This window comes from Homo sapiens, chromosome 7 (assembly GCF_000001405.40).
Source record: "Homo sapiens chromosome 7, GRCh38.p14 Primary Assembly".
In the NCBI taxonomy this organism is placed as follows: Eukaryota; Metazoa; Chordata; class Mammalia; order Primates; family Hominidae; genus Homo; species Homo sapiens.
In genome coordinates this window covers 75280562-75306306 of record NC_000007.14, presented here as the reverse complement: position 1 = coordinate 75306306, position 25745 = coordinate 75280562, and the positions used below count along the sequence as shown (strand labels likewise).

Genomic DNA, 25745 nt, shown 5'->3' with positions numbered 1-25745 from the left:
AATCCATTCAGATTTGAAATTCTCTGAGTTGGGCAGTGCAAGAGAGATCCTAAAGAAAGCAAAGTCACTGTGGACTGAAATGAGCTGGCAAGGTTTTCTGAGCGTGGTGAAATATGATCTGGGCCTCGCTTGGGAGGGCTGTGGCCAGGCCTTGAGTCCGTGGCTCAGTGGGACCTTCTGAAACAGCCTCCAATCCGTGCCCCCACTTCATTTGCTAGTGGATGACCCCCTCCAGCGGCTTTGGTGCTGATGGGAATAAGTCAACCTGCAGCGGAAGTTCAGCCCAAGTTTCAGCCCAGCAGCTTCTACACACCTGTCCGTGGTCTGGTCATGCTGCCATCTCTGCGGTTCTCTGCGGTTCTCTGCGGAGTCGTGGTTTCTGTACCTTGAAGAGAACTTCCCCTCTGGGACCCAGAAACCCAGTGAATCCTCAGGAAAAAAGGGAATGAAATTACTGAAGACAACTCTGTGGCGGGGAGATGGAAAAGAGGCTCTCTCTCTTTTTTTTTCCTAATATTTTGAGACAGAGTTTCGCTCTTGTCACCCAGGCTGCAGTGCAGTGGCTCCATCTCGGCTCACTGCAACCTCTGCCTCCCAGGTTCAAGCGATTCTCCTGCCTCAGCCTCCCGAGTAGCTGAGATTACAGGCACCCACCACCACTCCCGGCTAATTTTTGTATTTTAGGGTTTCGTCATGTTTGCCAGGCTGGTCTTGAACACCTGACTTCAAATGATCCACCCGCCTCTGCCTCTCAAAGTGCTGGGAATACAGGCATAAGACACTGCACCCGGCCTGTTTTTGTTTTTTAGAGACAAGGTCTCTGTTGCCTTGGCTGGGGTGCAGTGGTACAATCAGCTCTCTGTTGCCTCCTGGGCTCAAGCAATCCTCTTCTCTCAGCCTCCCAAGTAGCTGAGACTACAGGTGCATGCCTGTAGTAGATATAGCATCTTGCTCTGTTGCCCAGACTGGTCTTGAACTCTTGGTCACAAGCGATCCTCTTGCCTTGGCCTCTCAAAGTGCTGGAATTACACGCGTGAGCCATTGAGCCCAACCAGATAAGATGATCTTTAAGGGCCCTTCCCATGGCACCATAATCCAAGTCAGCGAGACTGTGGCTATAGCAAGTTTAACATAACCAGATACGCTAGTATTATGGGCTGCATGGTGTGCCCCCCACCCCTAATTCATGTATTGAAGCCATGACCCTCCAGACCTTAGAGGTGACCTTATTGGAACCAGAGTCTTTACAGAGGTGATCAAGTTAAAATGAGGTCACTAGAGGCCAGGCACGGTGGCTCACACCTGTAATCCCAGCACTTCGGGAGGCCGAGGCAGGCAGATAATGAGCCCAAGAGACCGAGACCATGATGTCCAACATGGTGAAACCCTGTCTCTACTAAAAATACAAAAATTAGCCAGGCGTGGTGGTGTGGGCCTGTAGTCCCAGCTACTCAGGAGGCTGAGGCAAGAGAATCGCTTGAACCCGGAAGGCAGAGATTGCAGTCAGCCAAGATCATGCCACTACACTCCAGCCTGGGTGACAGAGTGAGACTCTATCTCAAAAAAATAAAAATTAAAAAACTAAAAACCTACAGTACCGCCTTTTACATAATGCAATGGTTTGGTAAGCACATGCACCCCAGGGAGGTAGTGGCAGATTCAGTCAACCTTCCCAGCAGCGTGGAGACGCAGTCAGGCATAGCAGGTGTTGATGTGGTTTGAACCCACAGCTTGGCTCAAATCCACACTCCCCTACTTAGTACCGAGTGAAGCCACTTACCCTCTAAGTGCCTTACTTTTCTTTTCTTTTCTTTTTTCTTTTTTCGAGACAGAGTCTCGCTCTGTCACCCAGGCTGGAGTGCAGTGGCATGATCTTGGCTCACTGCAAACTTCGCCTTCCAGGTTCAAGCAATTCTCCTGCCTCAGCCTCCCAAGTAGCTGGGATTACAGGCGCCCACCACCATGCCGGGCTAATATTTGTATTTTTGATAGAGATGGGGTTTCACCATATTGCCCAGGCTGGTCTCGAACTCCTGACCTCAAGTGATCTGTCTGCCTCGGCCTCCCAAAGTACTAGGATTAGAGGCATGAGCCACCACACCTGGCCACTTTTCTTATCTATATTTGTTATGTGGATGACTTGTGTTAACGCAAATAAGATGCTGCTCGTCATCTTTAAAGAAAATAGGTGGCAACCTGTTATAGCAAGTCCTGTTTTTATTTGTACTTATGAGGCTTTAGTTAAACGCTAAGAATTAAAATGCACATAATAATAGACTTTACCTCACAAACTGGCTTCAATTATTCGATGAGACTTATATGTATTACTTAAATGAGGTTAAATTTAACCTTTAAAAAATGATTTATTGTGGCTGGGCACAGTGGCTCACACCTGTAATCCCAGCACTTTGGGAGGCCAAGGCAGACGGATCACTTGAGGCCAGGAGTTGAAGACCAGCCTGACCAACACGGCGAAACCCCATCTCCGCTAAAAATACAAAAATTATCCAGGCATGGTGGTGCACACCTGTAATCCTAGCTACTCAGGAGGCTGAGACACAAGAATCGCTTGAACCCGGGAGGCAGAGGTTGCAAGGAGGTGAGATCACACCACTGCACTCCAGCCTGGGCAATAGAGTGAGGCTCTGCCTTAAAACAAAGAAAAATGATTTTGGGGGATGATGGGGTGTCACTATGTTGACCAGGCTTGTCTCAAACTCCTTGCCTCAAGCAATCCACCCACCTCAGCCTCCCAAGTAGCTGGAACTACAGGCGCATGCCACCACGCCTGGCTAATTGTGTGTGTGTGTGTGTGTGTGTGTGTGTGTGTGTGTGTGTAGAAACAAGGTCTTACTGTGTTGTTTAAGCTGCTCTCAAACTCCTGGGCTCAAGTGATCCTCCCACCTTGGCCTCCCAAAGCATTGGAATTACAGGTGTGAGCCACCTCACTGAGCCCTCCACCTTTCAGCTGAACGCAGAAAAGTACAATCTTTTAACCCAAAGCGTTCCTCACACTTAGGGTCAGGAAGAGCCCTTCATGCCCTGGAGGCAACTACTAACCCTCTGCTAAACACTCTGACTCTGGGTGTGAGAAACACACCTACTGTGCCCCACATATTTTTCCAAATACAACTTAATTTAGCCTTCACGACAACCCTGGAGTGAAGGATCATTAACTTTATTTCATAGATGTGGAAACTGAGACTCAGAGGCAGGAAATGACCTCCTTCTGGAGGCTGCAAATTCTTTGATGCTCCTTTGATCAACAGGTGGGAGCTGGCCAGAGGTGGTGGCTCACACCTATAATCCCAGCACTTTGGGAGGCCAAGGTGGGAGGATTGACTGAGGCCAGGAGTTTGAAACTAGCCTGGGCAACATAGCAAGACCTCATCTCTACAAAAAATACACAAATTAGCAGGGTGTGGTGGTGCACACCTGTAGTCGCAGCCACTCGGGAGGCTGAAGTGGTAGCATTGCTTGAGCCCAGGAGGTTGAGGCTGGAGTGAGCCATGATCAAGCCACTGCACTCCAGCCGAGGAGATGGAGATAGACCCTGTCTCAAACAACAACAAAAAAATAGGTGAGGATCAGCCAGGCATGGTGGCTCACGCCTGTAATCCTAGAACTTTGGGAGGCCAAGGTGGGAGGATTGCTTGAGGCCAGGACTTCAAGACCAGCCTGGGCAGCCTAGCAAGATCCCATCCCTTAAAAAAAAGTTTTTAGGCTGGGCATGGTCACTCATGCCTGTAATCCTAGCACTTTGGGAGGCCAAGGCAGGCGGGTTGCCTGAGCTGAGGAGTTTGAGACCAGCCTGGGCAACATGGTGAAATCCTGTCTCTACTAAAATACAAAAAATTAGCCAGGTGTGGTGTTGGGCACCTGTAATCCCAGGTACTCAGGAGGCTGAGGCAGGAGAATTGCTTGAACCCAGGAGGCAGAGGTTGCAGTGAGCCGAGAGCGCACCACTCCACTCCAGCCTGGACAACAGAGCGAGACTCCGTCTCAACAAAAAAAATGTTTTTAATTAGCCAGCTGTGATGATGCATGCCCATGTCCCAGCTACTTGGGAGGCTGAAGCAGGAGGATTGCTTGAGCCTGGGAGGTCAAGGCTGCAGTGAGCTATGATTGCGCCCCTGCACTCCAGCCTGGACAGCGGAGGGAGACCCTGTCTGAAAATAAAAAAAGAGGTGGGGGCCTATGACCCCCCCTTTAATTTTGGCCCAACCTTAGTAACAGGATAGTCATTGAGTAGGGCAAAAGTGATGTTATGATGTTTTTCAGCCTCCAATTTACAGTCTAAAACATGTCTTGGGTAAACACAGCAAGACTCCATCTCAAAAAAAAAAAGAAAAAAAATCAGAAGTGAACCTGTAGCCTGTAGTGTGTTGCCAAATAAACTTATTTTTAGAGATACTTCTTTCCATTTTCTGTGAGGTCATCTGCAGTTTCACATGGTAGACAGACTTAGGTGAGATTCTTAGCAACATAGAATGAAGAGTAAAGAGGTTTGTTTATTTCACAAGGGTTTATTGAAGGCCTACGATGTGTTAAATGCTGTAGGAAATACCCACTGATTTCTCTTTTCATGGAGGTTTCCCGCCTTCTCTTAACGAGTGATCAATTAAACTGTTTACTGGGAACTTGCTAAGTTAATGAACACACGGGATACATTCTTTGGATGAGCAGACATTGGTTGGGCAGAGGGGCAAGAGGAGAGCAGTTTAGACAGAGACCTGCTTATACACTGTAGTGTCTAAGAGAGCTTGTGATGTTCAGGAAACAGTTGTTCACTGTGCTGCAATATAGGGGACGGCCAGTTGCGGTGGCTCACACCTGTAATCCTAGTGCTTTGGAAGGCCAAGGCGGGCAGATCACCTGAGGTCAGGAGTTAGAAACCAGCCTGGCCAACATGGTGAAACCCCATCTCTACTAAAAACACAAAAATTAGCTGAGTGTAATGGTGGATGCCTATAATCCCAGCAACTTGGGAGGCTGAGACAGGAGAATCACTTGAACTTGGGAGGTGGAGGTTGCAGTGAGCCGAGATCATGCCATTGCACTCTAGCCCAGGTGACAGGGTGAGACTCTGTCTCAAATAATAATAATAATAATAATAATAATAATAATAATAATAATAATAATAATGTAGGGGACTTGATGAAGGGAAAGGATCAGAGAGATTCTGAAAAGAAGGTAGTTTGGGGCCCAGTGATGACTAGATTTTAAGTTTCATATAGTAGGAAGTGGGGCACTAGTAATTTTTCAAGCAGAAAAATTATTTGACCAGATTCGTGATTTCAAAAATAGCTCTGGTGATAGAGTGGAGGATGGGTTGGAGCAGGGAATAAGGGGAAATGAAACCGTTATAAAACTCTTAAAGTGGGCTGGGCATGGTGGCTCACGCCTGTAATCCCAGCACTTTGGGAGGCTGAGGCGGGCGGATCACGAAGTCAGGAGATCGAGACCATCCTGGCTAAAACGGTGGAACCCTGTCTCTACTAAAAATACAAAAAATTAGCTGGGCATGGTGGTGGGCGCCTGTAGTCCCAGCCACTCAGGAGGCTGAGGCAGGAGAATGGTGTGAACCCGGGAGGCAGAGCTTGCAGTGAGCTAAGATCGTGCCACTGCACTCCAGCCTGGGCGACAGGGCGACAGAGCAAGAATCCGTCTCAAAAAAAAAAAAAAAAAAAAACCTCTTAAAACAAGTACAGCAAGAACTTTGAGGGTCTTTGCTAAGACAGCAGCTGGCAGCTTCAATTTGGAGTAGGGTATCAAAGGCAACTGTGTATAAGGAATAGTTATATAACTGGTATCCAATTTCTGAGATGATTTTGACTTAAACATTGTGTATTTCCCAGCATACTGTTGGTTTTTCTAATTATGTGGGAAATTATGTTGCTTTTACTTTTTTTTTTTGCTCATTGCCCAGCCTAGGGTGCAATGCTGCAATCTCAGCTCACTGCAACCTCCGCCTCCCAGGTTTAAGTGATTCTTCTGCCTCAGCCTCCCAAGTAGCTGGGATTACAGGCGCCCACCACCATGCCTGGCTAATTTTTTGTATTTTTGGTAGAGACAGGGTTTCACGACGTTGGCCAGGCTGGTCTCAAACTCCTGATCTCAAGTGATCCACCTGCCTCTGTGTCCCAAATTGCTGGGATTACAGGCATGAGCCACCGCACCGGCCATGCTTTCAGTTTTCAAGAAAGAAGACACCATTATTGCCAAAGATTTTGGTAATTTGAGAGATACAATGTATGTTTTCTCCATGTGGATACTAGATAGTAAGGATGTGTTGAATTTGAAGTGTCTATCCAGAAGTATTTTGGGTACTTGTTTAAGGATTGTAAAACAATGTTTCCATTTCTGGATATAATAAATGTATTTGTTAATATAATAAATGAATAGATTAGACCCATAAACTATTTGCAGTGTTGAGTCATTTCCCACAGTTAAAATCAGGATGAAAATATATAGCTGAATACTTGCTTTGTTTCTTGTAACTGATTTCTTTAGTACAGAACCTGCTAAGGCCATCAAACCTATTGATCGGAAGTCAGTCCATCAGATTTGCTCTGGGCCGGTGGTACTGAGTCTAAGCACTGCGGTGAAGAAGATAGTAGGAAACAGTCTGGATGCTGGTGCCACTAATATTGGTAAGTTTGGGAGAGTTTTAAGCCACAAGAAATGATCAGTGAATGTTGTTGTAGTCAAGAAACATTTGTTATTGAAATAAGACTATCAAGTGTTGATGTAGTAATAAACTATTATTTTTAAGTTAAAGTTAGCACCTATTATGTGCCTAGTACTTAGCTAGGTAGTAATAATAATAACGACAGCTTTTCTTGTGTTCTTATGGTGTGCCAGGCAGGTGTTATGCTAAGAATTGCACAGAAATATCTCATTTAATTTGCAGAATAGCTGGGCGTGGTGTCTGACGCCTGTAATCCTAGCCCTTTGAGAGGCTGAGGTGGGGGGATTGCTTGAAGCCAAGAGTTCAAGACCAACCTGGCCAACATGGGGAGACCTCGTCTCTATTAAAAAATAAAGCAGGCCGGGTGTGGTGGCTCACGCCTGTAATCCCAGCACTTTGGGAGGCCAAGGCGGGTGGATACCTGAGGTCAGGAATTCGAGACCAGCCTGTCCAAAATGGTGAAACTCTGTCTCTACTAAAAATACAAAAATTAGCCAGACCTGGTGGCAGAAGCCTGTAATCCCAGCTACTGGGGAGGCTCAGGAATGAGAATTGTTTAAATTTGGGAGGTGGAGGTTGCAGTGAACCGAGATTGTGCCACTGCACGCCAGCCTGGGGACAGAGCAAGACTCTGTCTCAAAAAAATAAAATAAAATAAAATAAAATAAATCCTGGAGTAGTGGCTCACATCTGTAATCCCAGCACTTTGGGAGGCTGAGGGGGGCTGATGCTTTGAGGTCAGGAGTTCAAGACCAGCCTAACCAACGTGGTAAAACCCTGTCTCTACTAAAAATACAAAAATTAGCCAGATGTGATGGTGCATGGCTGTAATCTCAGCTCCTCAGAAGGCTGAGGGAGGAGAATTGCTTAAACCTGGGAGGTGGAGGTTGCAGTGAGCCAAGATCGATTGTGCCACTGCATTCCAGCCTGGGTGACAAGAGCAAAAGTCCATCTCAAAAAATTAAAAAAAAAAAAAAAAAAAGGAAAGAAAAAAAAGAAAATGACAAAATTAAAAAAAAATTATTAATCTGCCAAATAACTTTATGAGATAGAACTTATTACCTCCATTTTACAGTTGAGGAAATTAAGGGACAGTAAATTTCCTTTTTTTGAGATTATAAAGCTAATAAAATAGAATCTAGGAAGTCTGATTCCAGAACCAGTTCTGTTTTTTTTTTCTTTTTTTTTTTTTTTGAGATAGAGTTTTGCTCTTGTTGCCGAGGCTGCGGTGCAATGGCACGATCTCAACTCACTGCAACCTCCACCTCCCAGGTTCAAGCGATTCTCCTGCCTCAGCCTCACAAGTAGCTGGGATTACAGGCATGCACCACCACGCCTGGCTAATTTTGTATTTTTAGTAGAGATAGAGTTTCTCTACGTTGGTCAGGCTGGTCTCGAACTACTGACCTCAGGTGATCCGCTCGCTTTGGTCTCCCAAAGTGCTGGGATTACAGGCATGAACCACTGCGCCCGGCCCCCGTTCTCCTTACTGGGTATGTTAAAATTATTTCTTTCAAAGGAAAAGGCTGGTCAAAGTGCAACGGTCTTTACAACTAATTGATCACAACCAGTTACAGATTTTTTTGTTCCTTCTCCACTCCAACTGCTTCACTTGACTAGTGTAAGGAAAAAAAAAAAAAAAAGAGGAAAGAAAGAAAATGCTAAACTATTTAATCTGGGCTAGTAAATGGCCAGAAAGAACTTTATAAAAATGAAATATACAAAATGACACTAGTATGTTTAACTAAAGGTATAGTTACGACACTTAAATTTGCACGTTATAAATAATATCAATATAAAAACTGATAGCGTGGGTCCATTTTTAATAAATATATAAATATTTTAAACTTTCTAGATCTAAAGCTTAAGGACTATGGAATGGATCTCATTGAAGTTTCAGGCAATGGATGTGGGGTAGAAGAAGAAAACTTCGAAGGCTTAAGTAAGTTAACTTTCTAATCCTATTACAAAATAATTGGGCCACATGTCTTAGAATTTTGAGTAACACTGTCTTGGGAAACACAAAAACAGTTTTTTAAAGCCAGTTACTAGATATCATGTATATTTGTTGTTATAGCACTTGAGATATCTTAGTCCTTACTTTACAGTCTCTTTCAGCTCTGAAACATCACACATCTAAGATTCAAGAGTTTGCCGACCTAACTCGGGTTGAAACTTTTGGCTTTCGGGGGAAAGCTCTGAGCTCACTTTGTGCACTGAGGTGATAAAATATTTTTATCCATTCACTTGACCCCTTAGAAAAACCTCTCTGAAAATTAATTGGAATCATTATTATTTACAATTTTCTATCTCAATATCTCAGCTTCTAGCTTCTGAATTCTGTTTTGTCTCACTGCCAATCTAAGTCCTAGTACTTCTGAAATGTGAGCAATAAATGAATGAAATGAAGCAAATAGTATTGTTTAAAAAATTGGTTACCCTTATTAAAACAGTAACTTCTCAATTTGAACATAACATATAGATAATAAATGATAGTTACCATTGGTTTTCATTATCAATTTTTAGGGAAACATTTCACCAAAGCACTATTTAATTACAGCACAGATACTAAATTTTTATAAATAATTACATGCACACACACATATATATACATATATATACATATATACATATATATATACATATATACATATATACATATATATATACATATATATACATATATACATATATATACATATATACATATATACATATATATACATATATATATACATATATATACATATATATATATATATATATATATATATTTTTTTTTTTTTTTAGACAGAGTCGCACTCTGTCACCCAGGCTGGAGTGCAGTGGCACAGTCTCAGCTCACTGCAGTCTCTGCCTCCCAGGTTCAAGTGACTTTCGTGACTCAGCCTCCTGAAGAGCTGGGACTATAGCGTGCACCACCACTCCTGGCTAATTTTTGTATTTTTAGTAGAGATGGGGTTTTGCCATGTTACCCAGGCTGGTCTGGAACTCCAGGCCTCAAGTGATCTGCCCTCCTTGGCCTCCCAAAGTGCTGGAATTACAGGCATGAGCCACCGTACCCTGCCCTACATATACATTTTAATTATAATATCTTTTGGATTCTTTAAAAAAAATTTTAAAAATTTTAAAAAATTCTTTAAAAAAATTCTTTTAAAAAATTTTGTTTGAAGAGTAATAACAAAACAAATCTCTATTTGAGAATCAATAAATCTTGAGATCATTTATGGTTTTGCAATTCAACCTGAAAAATGAAGTCAAAGCTTTTATCAAAACAAAGCATGTTTAGTGCTCTCTGTCTCACTGTCTTTTAGATGCCAGACCTTAGATTTTGTGATGACTCCTCAACCGTTTAGATCTCGGTTATCTCAGAGGGATCATCAGCTTTTTAAGAAAATTTTGAGAGAAAAGCAAGTGAAGAAAAGAGTAGTCAGTGCCCAACATCATGGATCTCTCACTGAACACACCATGCCTGGTATTCTCTCACAGTGATGTCACCATTTCTACCTGCCACGTATCGGCGAAGGTTGGGACTCGACTGGTGTTTTTGATCACGATGGGAAAATCATCCAGAAAACCCCCTACCCCCACCCCAGAGGGACCACAGTCAGCGTGAAGCAGTTATTTTCTACGCTACCTGTGCGCCATAAGGAATTTCAAAGGAATATTAAGAAGGTACAGTAAATTAATCCTGGTTTTCAAGAGTATTGGTTAATGCACATGAGCAAAAGATTTACTAAAGATGTTTATTCTTCAGTTGATTCTCTTCCCATAATTTATTGAGAAATGCTTTATTTGCATTTCTCATTAAAGACTTAACTTCAGGATGATTTACTTTTTTCTTTTTATCACATAATGTTTATTAGGACTGGGAAACATAGTGAGAGTCTGTCTCTATGAAAAATTAAAAAAAAAATTGACTGGGCATGGTGGCATGCACCTGTAGTTCCAGCTACTTGGGAGGCTGAAGTGGGAGGATCACCTGAGCCCAGGAACTTGAGACTGCAGTGAGCTACGATTGCGTCACTACACTTCAGACTGTGAGACAGAGTAAGACCCTGTCTGGAAAAATATATATACATATATATACATTTTTTTTATTTTTTATTTTTATCTTTTTTTGAGATGGAGTCTCACTTTGGCGCCCTGGCTGCAGTGCAGTGGCGCGATCTCAGTTCACTGCAACCTCCACCTGCCAAGTTCAAGCGATTCTCCTGCTTCAGCCTTCTGAGTAGCTACCATTACAGGCGCGCGCCACCACGCCCGGCTAATTTTTGTATTTTCAGTGGAGACGGGGTTCCACCATGTTGTCCAGGCTGGCCAGGCTGGTCTCGAATTCCTGCCCTCAGGTGATCCGCCCACCTCGGCCTCTCAAAGTGCTGGGATTACAGGCGTGAGCCACCATGCCTGACCTTATGTACTTATATTTTTATGAGAATATTTCTCTTGGTTTTCTGATAAATGAGTTACTGGAACCCTTATGAATTTGAATGCAAATGAAACAGCTAAATGTTATATAATTGTTGTGTTTAAAAAGCAGATTATAAAACTGTCTGTATTATATGATTACAGTTTTATAAAAACAAAACAGGCCTAAATGTGTATAGTATAAAGACTGAAGAGTCAGCACTTCCATGTTCTCAGCGGTTATCCTTGGATGTGAGATCTCATGCACTTTTTGCTCTCTTCTTTGTGCCTTTCCATTTTGCATGCGTATTTCTTATAATCTAAAAAGTTACTTAAACATATGCAGCTAAAAACTTTTTTTACTTGTAAAGCGTTTGGTGCTAATTTTAACTTTTTTTTTTAGACGGAGTCTTCTCACTCTGTCGCCCAGGCTGGAGTGCAGTGGTGTGATCTTGGCTCACTGCAACCTCCGCCTCCTGGGTTCAAGTGATTCTCCTACCTCAGCCTCCCAAGTAGCTGGGATTATAGGTGTGTGTCACCACACCCAGCTAATTTTTGTATTTTTAGTAGAGATGGGGTTTCACCATGTTGGCCAGGCTGGTCTTGCACCCCTGACCTCAAGTGATCTGCCCACCTCAGCCTCCCAAAGTGCTGGGATTACAGGCGTGAGCCACCACGCCTGGCTTTTTTTTTTAAAGCTTTTTTGTAAGTCAGCCAGCAAGAACACAGGAGGAAGTACTCAAATCTCCCTTACACAGCTGGGGGCTGTGTCAGGTTTTATAAGCATAGGGTAATGAGGTGTGATTTGATTGGATCTTGCAATAAAGTAATGCTGGGAGGTGTGATCTGACTGGATCCTGCCATGGGGTGACACCAAAACTCAATCTGATTGGATCCTGGCTCCTGCCTGGGGGTGTCTGGTTCTTAAATCGGTCCGGGCTCTTCAGGCTGAGCTCTTAGGTTCCACTCCACGGTGGCACGCGTGGTTAACCTGGGCATGCACAGGGTACATGACCTTCAACCTGCAGGTCGATGGCAATTGGAAAACAACTGACAACTTCATTACATAAAAGTTGAACTGATTCGGGTGCGGTGACTCACGCCTGTAATCCCAGCACTTTGGGAGGCCAAGGCAGGTGGATCACCTGAGGTCGAGGAGTTCAAGACCAGCCTGGCCAAAATGGTGAAACCCCGTCTCTACTAAAAATATAAATATTAGCCAGGCGTGGTGGCGCACCCTTGTAATCCCAGCTACCCCAGAGGCTGAGGCAGCAGAATGCTTGAACCTAGGACGTGGAGGTTGCAGTGAGCTGAGATCGTGCCATTGCACTCCAGCCTGGGTGACAAGAGTGAAACTCCATCAAAAAAAAAAAAAGTTGAACTAGATTTGGTCTGATGCAGTTACAGATTTACAAACCGCGTCCCACCCTCCTGCCAACACCTTCCACTCCTCATTCTTGAGGGATTAGGGATGGAGGTCATGCTTCTGTATCGACTTCATGCTGACCAGGGGCACTTAGTCCCCTAAAGTGAGAGGAATGAAACTCTTGGGCTTCTGAGTTCAGATGAGTTCTGGGGTCACCCGGAGTAGCTTGAAAGGCTGGTATTGTTGTAATACAAGCTGAAGGTGGAAGTGTTGGATCCTGGAGGACAAACAGCTCACCATCCATTTAAATAAATAGGACCAAAAAGTAACAGAACAGTGGCCACGAGGGGCCCCAACAGAGGAAGAAACCAGGTGAGGTGTGGTATAGTGGACTCGACTGCCTTCTAAATCTCAGTGGTTGTCCGGGTGCGGTGGCTCACGCCTGTAATTCCAGCAAAAGAAGAGCCGAGGCAGGGTGATCACGAGGTCAGGAGTTCAAGACCAGCCGGGCAAACATGGTGAAACCCCGTCTCTACTGAAAATACAAAAATTAGCCAGGTGTGGTGGCGTGTGCTGTAGTCCCAGCTACTAGGGAGGCTGAGGCAGGAGAATTGCTTGAACCTGGGAGGCGGAGGTTGCAGTGAGCCGAGATTGTGCCACTGCACTCCAGCCTAGGTAACAGAGCAGGACCCCATCTCAGTCAATCAATCAATCTCAGTGGTTGAACTACCCTTGATATGGTTCAGCTCTGTATCCCCAACCAAATCTCATGTCCAATTGCAATTCCCAGTGTTGAGGGAGGGACCTGGTGGGAGATGATTGGCTCATGGCGGCTGACGTCCCCCTTGCTGGTCTCGTGATAGTGAGTGAGCGCTCATGGGATCTGGTTGTTTAGAAGCATGCAGCACCTCCTGCTTCACTCTCTCTGTCTCTCCTGCTCCACCATGGCCAGAAACGTGCCTGCTTCCCCTTCGCCTTCTGCCGTGATTGTCAGTTTCTTGAGGGCTCCCCAGCCATGCTTCCTGTACAGCCTGCAAAACTGTGAGTCAATTAAACCTCTTTTCTTCATAAATTCCCCAGTTTCCAGTAGTTCTTTATAGCAGTGTGAAAACAGACTAATGGACCCTTCTGGTTGAAGGAATGTAGCCATTCTGCTTGTTTAAGTATTTCCTTTCTATTCATCTCTATTTCCCGGGAGGTGTTTATCCAAGTGCAATAGGAGATATTGGTGACTGCAGAGTCCCCTCAGTGTTCTGCTAGTAAATAGTTGAAGGTTGATCAGTGATCTCCAGCATTTTCAGTCTGGCATGGAAAAGCCCCCATGTAACTGGTAAAGGTATCAGTAAGCACCAGGAGGTATCTAAATCCACCAGGAGCCATAGGCATCATGTTGATGTCCATTTACCAGTCTTCCCTGGCAAGATTCTCTGAATTGTACTGCCTTGGCCAAAAGAGGTATGGGAGGGGCTGGGCACAGTGGCTCACGCCTGTAATCCCAGCATTTTGGGAGACCAATTCGGGTAGATCATTAGAGGTCAGGGGTTCAAGACCATCCTGGCCAACATGGTGACATTCCATCTCTACTAAAAATACAAAAAGTCAGCGGGGTTTGGTGTTGGGTGCCTGTAATCCCAGCTACTCGGGAGGCTGAGGCAGGATAATCACTTGAACCTGGGAGGAGGAGGAGGTGGCAGTGAGCTGAGATCTCGCCATTGCACTCCAGCCTGGGCAACAAGAGCGAAACTTCATCTCAAAAAATAAAAAAAGAAGTCTGGGTGTGGTGGCTCGTGCCTGTAATCCCAGGACTTTGGGAGGCCAAGATGGGTGGATCATGAGGTCAGGAGTTCAAGACCAGCCTGGCCTAGATGGTGAAACCCTGTCTCGAGTAAAAATACAAATATTAGCTGGGCATGGTGGCACACACCTGTAATCTCAGCTACTCAGAAGTCTGAGACAGAAGAATTGCCAAAACCCGGGAGGGAGAGGTTGCAGTGAGCCGAGATCGCGCCACTGCACTCTAGCCTGGGCGACAGAGCAAGACTCCGTCTCGAAAGAAAGAAAGAGAAAGGAAATTCCCCAGGGAAGTACCTCGGCTTATTTCATGAAGAGGTACTGAAGGAAGCAGAGGCATGTGGAGGACTTCCCCACCTCGTGCAGCTATTTGGGCCGTGGCGTCTGAAATTTCTTATTTCAGAGTCACCCCTTTGATGACCTTGGCAGTGGACTGCAGTCATCTGTTTAGGCCTCTCCATGGCCCGTGTCAATGCCGATATTTCTGTCTGTTGCACATTTGATTTCCTTGTTGTTGGCATTTAGAAGGCCCCCTGTTTCCCAGATCACACCACGGGCATGGACCGCAGAGATTGCATCTTGTGAGTCTGTAGAAACAGTCAAGGCCTTGTCCTCTCTTAGGTCCAGAGCTCAGGTGAATGCAGATTTTCCCGGCCATCTGTGCTGAAGTCCCTGTGGGGAGGCTCCTGGCTGGTTTCCTGTAGGTAGACAGCTACACATCCTGCCCTTCATTGGCTTCTTTTCATGAAGCTCCTGCTGTCTACAAAACATGTCTCCCTTTTCTTCTTGAACCACATCTCTGTTATTGAAACTCTAGAAGTCAGCCAGGCACAGTGGCTATGCCTGTAATCCCAGCACTTTGGGAGGCCAAGGTGGGTGGATCACCTGAGGTCAGGAGTTCAAGACCAGCCTGGCCCACATGGCGAAACCCTGTCTCTAATACAAATACTAAAATTAGCCAAGCATGGTGGCCACTGCACTCCAGCCTGGGTGACAGAGCAAGACTCTGTCTCAAATAAAGAAAGAGAAAGTATCATGCTTTTCAGAGTTCTGTGGGTTGTTATGGTGAATTATCAAACCTGAGGACGTGGTGGGAACCTCCAAATTTGCAGCCAGTTGGTGAGAAGTACATGCGGTCTGTGGACACCCAAGCTTGCAGCTGCATCTGAAGCGAGGGCAGCCTAGCGGGGGCTGGTGGCCTTAACCTGTGGCATTTGATGTAACATCAGGGAGTTGACATCAGAATTACGTCACACAGGCCAGGTGCAGTGGCTCATGCTTATAATCCCAGCAATTAGAAAGGCAAGATAAGAAGATTGCTTGAGCTTGAGTCTGAGCCCACAGTGAGCTATGACCGCACCACTGCACCCCAGTCTGGGTGACAGCACAAGACCCCGACTCCAAAAATAAAAAAGAAAAATCACAAAGAATTGCATGGCAGAGTGCCTGTCTTTCACAGCTTGAACTGTTGCAGGAACTTTCTTTTTTTTTTTTTCTTTTGTGATGGAGTCTCGCGCTTTCACCCAGGCTGGAGTGCAGTGGCGCGATCTCTGCTCACTGCAGGCTCCGCCTCCTGGGTTCACACCATTCTCCTGCCTCAGCCTCCGGAGTAGCTGGGACTACAGGCGCCTGCCACCGCGCCCAGCTAATTTTTTGTATTTTTAGCAGAGATGGGGTTTCACCGTATTAGCCAGGATGGTCTTGATCTCCTGACCTCATGATCCACCCACCTCAGCCTCCCAAAGTGCTGGGATTACAGTCCTGAGCCACCGCGCCTGGACTTTTTTTTTTTTTTTGAGAGGGGTTGGGGAGACATATTCTCTGCTAGTGATTCTCCTGCCTGGTCTCGAACTCCTGCTGGGATCACAGGCGTGAGCCACCACGCCCAGCCACCTTTAGAGTTTTCTTACCACCTGGTTTTCCTCTCTCAATATCTTTCTCTCATTTCCTGCTTTAAAACTCTAGCTTGGGGTCTGGGCACAGTAGCTCATGCCTATAATCCCAGCACTTTGGGAGACTGAGGCGGGTGGATCACTTGAGGTCAGGAGTTTGAGACCAGCCTGGCCAACATGGTGAAACCTTGTCTCTACTATTTTTACAAAAGTTAGTCAGACGTACAGGCGGATGCCTGTAGTCCCAGCTACTTGGGAGGCTGAGGCAGGAGAATTTGCTTGAACGCGGAGGTGAAAGTTGCAGGGAGCCGAGGTTGTGCCACTGCACTCCAGCCTGGGAGACAGAGCGAGACTGTCTCCAAAACAAACAAACAAACAAACAAACAAAAAAACCCTGTAGCTTGGGATCAGCCTTCTCTTCTGTTGTTTTTCTTTAAAAAATAAAAATTAAAAATAGGCTTCAAGTGATCCTCCCGCCATGACCTCCAAAACTGCTGGGATTGTAGGTGTGAGCACTGCACCCAGCCGTATGTTTTTTTCTACATAAAAAACAGCACAGGATTATCTTCCAAAGCTAATAAATATGTTCAAATAACCACAACCCCATTAAGGAAAAATGTCACTTGACAGCAAATAATCAATCCAGACCACAATATGATCACACTCACTGTGAAGGTGAGAAAAGTTCATCTTTATTATGTTTCCCCAAGAGATGCACTGCACTGTTCTCTTGAAAACACACAGCTCATGTCCTCCTTTAGAACACACATCCTCTTTAAAGTAACATACAAACATGCCAAAACAAGATAAAAAATTCCATCTGAATTCTCACATTTCAAACATACACTAAATATCAAATAAAAATTTATTTTTACAAGAATTTAGGGGAACTACCACATAGCTATAAATGTAATATATATGTTAACTAAGTATCATAGATAAAAACCATGCTCCCTTCAGCAGCACGTGTAATAATAGATACAAAGATTGAAAGGTAAAAGATTTAGGATGAAAAGAATCCTCTCTTAAAAAGGAAAACAAAATTATATGTATGTGTATACAACAGTTATAATACCCATCACACAGCTTTATAGAAACAGCATCTATTCAAAAATACCAGTATTTCCAAAATATTTAAAATAATATTTAAAGTAATAATAATATTTAAATAAATAAATATATTTAATAAATATTTCAGTAAATAAAATAATATTTAAATAATTCTATACCCATGTTTTTCAAAATAAACCAATAAAATAGATAGTATATATTAGACGTGTTAGTATATATATCTGAGACATGTTAAAAATCACAACTGAATTCTCACAAGTCAGTCACAAACCTAAACAGCAAATAAAAATTTCTATCACCAGAATTATGTTTTTTTCTGGTGGGGAACTACCAATAGCTATAAATAGAAGAGATTATTATGGAAGTATCATAGATAAAAAGAGTGCTCGCTTCAGGAGCACATATAATAATACAGAAAAAAAATTAAAGATAATAAAAGATTTAGGATAAAAAGAATTCTCACTTAAAAATGAAAAGAAAATTATCTTTAGGTATATATAACAACTATAACTCTCATCAAAAAACTCTACAGGAACAGCATGTTTTCAAAAGTACAACAATTTCCAAACTATTTGAAATAAACCTATTAATAATTCAATGGCCAACATTTTCCAAACAAACCAATAAAATGCATAGTGTGCATGAAGCTATCTGTTACAGTCTGTGGCACTCATATTTCACAAAGAATTCTGTGCCAATCTGAGCCCCTGCACTGTGCCTTCAAATGCTCCTGGACTGTGGCAACCAAGTCCATAAGAAACAGGACCTCCAGGTTCCGCCCCAGGGAGGTTGGCATTCAGCAATATAAAAAGGGAGGTGGTGCCGCAGGAAAGGGTGGAACTGGAAACACTCCTGGTTTCTTACTTTTCTCCAAGGACTCCTAGAAGTACCCCACCCCACCCCTGCTCCTTGGAGGACAACGTGATCACTGTATTCAGCTCTGTCAAGAATGGTCCAGGTTCTTCTAGATGATCTGCACAAATGGTTCCTCTCCTCCTTCCTGATGTCTGCCATTAGCATTGGAATAAAGTTCCTGCTGAAAATCCACATCTCCCCTGGGTCCGGTGTTCTGGAAGTGAGAGAGACAATGTCACACTTGAAGGAGGCAGCTCTCTAGACAGGAAGGTTATTCACGTCCCATGTCAAGTCTAGCTAGAGTTCAGAGCAATTGAGAAGTGCAATTTTATCTCCTGCCTTTCATTCTATACCCTGCTTCTGAACCATCGTGTTCAACTGTGAAACTCACACTTTGGTGACCCTGACTCCAAAACTTAATACACCCAAGGTCAGCCCCAGTGATCTGCTTCATAGCCAGGACTTTGGGTGGGTCTTCCCAGGGAGTAGGGCACCCTCAGAGAATGTGGCTTTGGACTTCATCACAGCTGGGGCCTTTTGTGTCACTTCAGATCTAAACTTGTAACCGTGCTAGATCTGTTTCTAACGTGACAACATCACGAACCACGAGTCCAGAAGCCTAATCCATAATCCTCCCTCCTCATGACGAAGTCTCATGCTCTGTGCTCAACATGGTTAGCTGCACAAGATGTAAACCAAAGCTTCACTGAACCCTCGACCCAAATCGGTAACTCAAGTGCATCAATCATAATGAACCTCCCCGAACTCAGTATTTATGATTATTTTTGAGGCAGGGTCTCACTCTGTCGCCCGGGCTGGAGTGCAGTGGCAGGATCAGGGCTCCCTGCAGCCCCGACCTCCCAGGCTCCAGCGATCCTCCCGCCTCAGCCTCCTGAGTAGTTGGGAGTAGAGATGCCTCCCACATCGCCTGGCTAATTTTTGTATTTTTGTGGAGAGGGGATCTCGCCACGTTGCCCAGGCTTGAAGCCAGATCAAGCAATTGGGTTCCTTGGATTTCCGAAATAGACCCCAATATTCTGCCTTTACCCCGGAGGATGCAGATGTACCTTCTCTCAGGCCGATGACCTCAGGCCTCCACGGTCCCTGGAGCTCTAGGAAAGGTGGGCGCGATCTCGCGCCCACACCCAGTGCTCTGGGTCATAAGCCTGGATCTGGAAAAACAAACGCGCTTTGAGAAGACGGGGACTCCCCAGGATACCCCTCTCTCCCCTCGTCCAGCCTCCAGCCCACCCGATTCCTCTCCACATCCTCCACGTCCCCAGGCCCCACCCACCTCTTCCAACTCCTCCAGGGAAACCCAAGCCCTGCAGCGCATGGAACAAAAGAAGTGGAACCGATACTTCCGGAACAAGGCTATCTGAGAGCAGTTCTTCCTGGCCCTCGGGTTCATGTAACGGCATAACTGGAACCAAAGCTCACTGAGCAAGGGTATATGAGAGCGGGTCTCCTCGTACAGGAAGTAGAAGATGTTTTGTTTGGGGGCCTCGTCGTCCTCCTCCATGTCATTGGCCAGATAGCTGAGGACAGAAATCAGGTTGCTGCTCAGGGGCACCACCAGGAGAGACCTCCGGCTGAGGTCAGCTTCTCAGAGAGGAAGGTAAGGGACCGTCCCTAGCTCAGGACTGGCACCCACCCTGCAGAGAGCCACGCCTTCCTCAGGAGGGCTCTGCTGGACAGAGACCTGATCAAGGGCGTCTCCCACTCCTTCAGGATGGAGACAAAAACCCAACTGGTGACCAAGAGTGGTGGCTTATGCCTGGAATCCCAGCACACTGGGAGGCCGAAGCAGGAGGATCACTTGAGGCCAGGAGTTTGAGACAGGCCTGGGCAACATAGCAAGACCCTCGTCTCTATTAAAAATATAAAAAATACGCCAGACGTGGTGGCTCATGCCTGTAATCCCAGCGCTTTGGAAGGCTGAAGCAGGTGGATTGCTTGAGACCAGGAGTTTGAGACCAGCCTGGTCAACACAGAGAAACCCCATCTATACTAAAAATACAAAAATCAGCCTGGTGCGGTGGCACACCCATTAGTCCTAGCTACTCAGGAGGCTGAAGCATAAGAATTGTGTGAACCCAGGAGGCGGAGGTTGCAGTGAGCCAAGATTGGGCCCCTCCATTCCAGCCTGAGAGACACAGCAACACTCTTGTCTTGATAAATAAATAAATAAATAAATAACTGTCCAGGTGTGGTGGTACAGCCCTGTAGTCGGAGCTAATCAAGAGGCTGAGGTGGGAGGATCGCTTGAGCCCAGGATATGGAGGCTGCGGTGAGCTATGATCTCACCACTGCACTCCAGCTTAGGGGACAGGGCAAGTCTGTCTCAAAAAAAAAAAAAAGCAATTGAATACACTGATATTTTGCCAGGACCCTGCCTTCTACAGGCATCTAGTCTAATGGGACTGGGAGTAATCAGGGGAGATGACCTAATCCCAATGTCACATTATAATAGGATGTAACTGGAGAGCTACGGGCATGCAGAAGTTGGAAGACGAGGGAAGGCATCACAGAGGCTGTGGGGTGAACCGACTTCAAGGAATGGGTCCTTCCCTTCAGAACCACATGTGTGCGGGACACCCAGACAGAAAACACAAATGCAAAGTCAAGTGGAGGGCATTTGGAAGGAGCAGTGAAGCCAAGCCAGGAAACACCAAGATGGCGAGCCAGTGTGGTTGTAGAGATTGTAGAGAGGGTGGAATTGGCACTGTGGACCCTGGCCTCGATAGAGAAAGACATCAGCTAAGGAAGTTGTTCAGGTGGGCAGTGAGGTTGTCGTGCTTTGGAAAGATGTTCAGGCTGCACTAGGAAGCCCCCTGGCTTGGGGAGAGACTCCAGGAAACCCCAGCAGGGAGCATTTGACAGTGGATTCGAGTGATGCAAGGGGGACCTGGACTGTGACCTCTGTCACGGGAACCCGGAGGAGGCTGATGGCTTTTGCGGTTGATGTGGGAAGGAGAGAGAACAACCGGAAACGTCTGCTTGCTGGGGGAAGTGTCATGTCCGCTCCTCCGCTCCTTTTCTTCTCCCCTTAGGAGCGGTTCATGGTTCCTTTTGTTTTTTGTTCTTTTTTTTTTTTTTTTTTTGAGACTATAATCCTGTCTTTTTTGTACACAGAGTAAAGAGGACAAATAGGTGAAAGAATAAATGAAAGGCTGGAATCCCACTTCCCCCGCTGTCCCAGGGCATTGGATATTGACGGATAGGAGGCAGCAAACCACTCACAGAGCCAGGAAGAAATGAATGCGTTGGTATTGCCAGGAGGGGAGGCCGGCCCGGCTGAAATACGCTATGACCATAGCCAGGAGATACTGATGGAGAGAAAGGAACACAGAGAGGGAGAGGTCACATCTTGGGAGAGGAAGATTGTGGATATAGTGGAATGGGGGTCTGGGGAGGGGTTGCCCATCAGAGAAGGGACCTCAGTGTTGGGGTGACTGTGCTCATGTGGAAATTGCGGGGTGGAGGGGTATTCGAAGGTCGGATGCAAATCCGAGAAGCCGGAGGAAGGGTTTTTGGTGATGCTCCCAGGATGGTGGGCTCCGATGGGATCTTTGGAGGGGGTGTGTCTAGGTCGGCTGGTGTCAGGAGGGTCTTTTGTGTGCCAGGCAGAGAACTGTCCCAAGGAGCTGAGAGTAGAGGGCCCAGGAGCTTCAGGGCTGCAGCCAGACTGTGGCCCAGGGCTCAGATCCCAAAGGACCCATAGGAGAGGCAGGGGCCACTCATTCACTCTGCAAGAGACCAGCAGAATCCTGACGGAGATGCTGACAAATCATAAAAAGACAAAGAATAGCCGGGAGTGGCAGCTCAAGCCTGTGATCCCAGTACTTTTTGAGAGGTGGAGACAGGAGGATCATGTGAGCCCAACAGTTGGAGAACAACCTGGGCAACACAGCGAGACCCTGTTTCTAAGAAGATTTCAAAAATTAGTTGAGCATGGTAGCATGTGCCTAGTCCCAGCTCCTCAGGAGGCTAAGGAAAGAGGATTGCTTGAGCCCAGGAATTAGAGTGAGCTATGATCATGCCACTGTACTCCATCCTGGGGAGCAGAGCTGGATTCTGTCTCAGAAAAAAAAATGTGTGGGTGCCAAGACTCAAGACCATGGGAGCTGGTCAGACACAGTGCTGACGTCTGTAATCTCAGCACTTTGGGAGGCCAAGGCGGGTGGATCACCTGAGGTCAGGTGTTCGGGACCAATCTGGCCAACATGGCAAAACCCCGTCTCTACTAAAAACACAAAAATTAGCCAGGCGTGGTGGTTCATGTTTGTAATCCCAGCTGCTTGGAGGCTGAGGTGGGAGAATCGCTTGAACCCAGGAGGCATCAGCTGCAGTGAGTCAAGATCGAGACACTGCCCTCCAGCCTGGGCAGCAGAGCAAGACTGTGTCTCACAAAAAAAAACAAAAACAAAAACAAAAAAAAACTGTAGGAGCATCTGGTGGGAGGTGGTGGACGGAGAACTGTGGGTTTGGAAGCTGCGCCCTCCCCCTGGCCGTGCGTTAGAACAGGAACACAGTTACATAGAGAACAACCTTACCTTGTCCGACACCCTCAGATCTTTGTCCCAGGCCAGGAGTCTTTTAATGACAGGATCCTCTGTGATTAGAGAGCAGATGTCAGTGTGAGAAGCAGGACAGGGTTTCCGTGAGAGCAGCAGGGCAGCGAGGAGAAGTGTGCCTCCCGGGGGAAAGTCTCAGGATTGTGGCCGCGGGTGAGGTGGATGAGAGAGGGGAGAATGACTTTCACTGGGCAAGGGAGAGAGGCTCCTGCTCTGAGACTCCCCTGAGAAGAGGCCGAAGGAGGCCCTGGGTGTGAGAATCTACAGGATGTAGAGCTGGGAATCAGCCAGGACCCCCTCCAGCAGACACGGAGGGACCACTGCAGAGTCATAAAGGAATTCCCATCATTTCCTCATGAGACAGTCACACATCAGGGTGTGACCATGGCCTTGGTATCCCTCACTATGGATGGAAACACTTAGGTTTAGAAAAGTCAGTAAGAAACATTAAGTTTCAGAGGGCACAGCTGAAACCACTTTTTTGATTTTTGATTTTGTTTTTCTTTATTTGATTTTTATTTTTATTTATTTATTAATTTATTTTGAGACAGAGTCTTGCTCTGTGGGCCAGGCTGGAATGCATTGGCCTGATCTTGGCTCACTGCAACCTCTGCCTCCTGGGTTTAAGCAGTTCTCCTGTCTCAGCCTCCCGAGTAGCTGGAACTACAGGGATGAGCTACTGTGCCCAGCCTTGGTTTTTCTTTTGACGCAGAGTTTTGCTCTGTCACCCAGGCTGGAGTGCAGTGGTGCAGTCATAGCTCACTGCAGCCTCAAAGTCCTGAGTTCAAGCAATCCTCTTGCCTCAGCCTCCCAACGTGCTGGGATCTCAGGCGGGAGCCACAGCGCCTGGCCCAAAACCAAGCTTTCTTATCCCAAGCACCGACCTTTATCAAGTCTACCTAATCCTCTGTTGTCTCCTAAGTGTCCCTCATGAGTGATCACTTCAGAGTCCTCCCGCATGGAGAGCTCACCCACTGGGGCATATTTTTCCCATTGGAAAAGTGTGGTTATTGGAAGTTTCCTCTTTAGAAAGAACAGGATTGGAGGTGCTCTCTGGGGTGTCCTCCTACCAAGCAGCCTGTTGAAGGCCTCGTAGTACTCAGGGAGCACGAGCGACACTCGCCGTCGCTTCGCCTTCATCTTGAGGCCACACAGCGTCTCCGCCACCCAGGTCTCCTCAGGCTCAGGGGCGAGCTCCTTCTCTGGCTCATCATCAGATTCATCCAAACATTCCCTCTTCCTTTTCCAGCCAAGGGACCTACGTGGGGGGCTGGGATCTACCCCAGGGGCTGAGTAAAGAAACCAGGCCACCGTGTAATGCTTCTGCAACTGATCACGTTAGACCCCGACCCCAAACCCCAAACCACTCTCCATCCTCCCCAGCCTCGCAGACTGCTGGCTTCTCCAAGCCACCTTTCTGACTTTCTCCTCTGCTCAACCCCATGTGCCACTCCTTCCCCTCCCCATTCTTCCCTCTCTCTGTCCTCAGAACACTGCCTCATATCCTTCCCTGGTCCCTGGCTCTCTGAGTCCCTCTTTTTTTTTTTTTTTTTTTGTTTCGAGACAGAATCTTGCTTTGTCACCCAGGCTGGAGTGTAGTGGTGCAATCTCAGCTCACTGCAACATGCATCTCCCGGATTCCAGTTATTCTCCTGCCTCAGCCTCTCAGGTAGCTGGGATTACAGGTGCCTGCCATAATGCCCAGCTCCATTTTGTACTTTTAATAGAGACAGGGTTTCACCATGTTGGCCAGGCTGGTCTCAAACTCCTGGCCTCAAGTGATCCGCCTGCCTTGGCTTCCCAAAGTGCTGGGATTACAAGTGTGAGCCACTGCACCCAGCCTGAATTTCTCCATTCTTCCCACACACCCTCCCCAGGTTCTCCTTCCTGACCTCTGACCCTTCTTTTTTTTCTTCTTTTTTTTTTTTTCTTCTTTTTTTTTTTTGAGATAGCATCTCACTCTGTCACCCAGACTGGAGTGCAGTAGCACGATCTCGGCTCACTGCAACCTCTTCCTCCCAGGCTCAAGTGATTCTCCTGTCTTAGCCTCCCAAGTAGCTGGGATTATAGGCACACACCACTACCGCCTGGCTAATTTTTGTACTTTTAGTAGAGATGGGGTTTCACCATGTTGGCCAGGCTGGTCTTGAACTCCTGACCTCAGGTGATCTGCCCGCCTCAGCCTCCCAAAGTGTTGGGGTTACAGGGGTGAGCCACCACGCCTGGCCCCCTTCCTTCATCTTAGTCAATCCTATGCCACCTCTTCTTTCTCCAGTCCCCTCACCTGATGGTCCCAACACTTCATCATCCACCACCTCCTGGAGGGGGTACCCTGAGGTGCTCCGCTGGGGGCTCCGCTCTTCCTGGGGCTGCGGTTGATGGCTCATCATGATCTTTCCCAAAATCTGTCCCATCTCACCAAACCTAGTCTCTGTTCTGTCCTTGGTCTTCTTCTGGACACTGCTGGGATCCAGAAGAGTGTGTTATCAATTCTCGAGGCTGGGAGAAGTCAGGAGTGGAGAACAGCTCTGAGAAGTTACTGTTGTCCAACTGAACTCCCAGATGCCGACAGAGTCCGGTCCCTCCAATCAGGAAGGTCGGAATCTCTGATGTCATCGCTCATGCCAACCTGGCAACCAGTTTGAAAAAAAACACATGTAACTGCCAGGCTGATCTCTTGTCCTGGAGATCCTGGGTGAATGGTATCTCCTGCCACTGTCCCAACCTCAGACCACTGTCCAAAAGCATCTTCAGGGTCTCCGCATCCCTCTGTTCCCTGTCCCAGCAGAGGCTGTGTCCTCTCCACTCAAAGCTTGAAGCGTGTTGGGGTCTCCTCTTCTCTGTACATGCCCGTTTCAGAGTCCAGTCTGGTGGGAGAGGGATCAGGATGGGAAAGAAAAGTAGGGTAAGCAGAAACGATGAAACCTTACAAGAGTGAGATTATCATGTACAAGAGATCCCAGGAACATTGACTTGATGAAAAAGTCACATCAGAGCACTCAATTTGGCAGAGGTTTTCTGCCGAATGTCTACTGACATTCACTGTCCGAGATTCTGTACTGGGGGTACACGCGTCCTCTGCCCTAAGGCATCTT

At 46.4% G+C, this 25745-nt stretch overlaps 2 protein-coding genes and 1 pseudogene across 4 annotated transcripts in view; 1 reads left to right on the top strand and 2 right to left on the bottom strand.

The window, feature by feature from the left end:
* Positions 1–25745, bottom strand: part of SPDYE14 (speedy/RINGO cell cycle regulator family member E14) — an 80225-nt gene that overhangs the window by 11123 nt on the left and 43357 nt on the right. The window lies entirely within an intron of this gene.
* Positions 6501–9754, top strand: PMS2P13 (PMS1 homolog 2, mismatch repair system component pseudogene 13; annotated as a pseudogene).
* SPDYE13 (speedy/RINGO cell cycle regulator family member E13) lies at positions 14501–25517 on the bottom strand. 2 transcript variants are annotated; one of them, NM_001382563.2, is made up of 7 exons: positions 24935–25517; positions 23721–23939; positions 22630–22688; positions 21317–21402; positions 19368–19611; positions 19141–19245; positions 16806–18287 (listed from the first exon to the last, which is right to left on the bottom strand). In NM_001382563.2, the coding sequence occupies exons 1-6, from the start codon at positions 25062–25064 to the stop codon at positions 19186–19188; spliced, it is 798 nt and encodes a 265-aa protein (NP_001369492.1). In that variant the 5' UTR covers positions 25065–25517; the 3' UTR covers positions 16806–18287; positions 19141–19185. The 2 variants fall into 2 exon arrangements, with proteins under 2 accessions (XP_047275733.1, NP_001369492.1); XM_047419777.1 differs by having other exon boundaries at positions 14501–19245.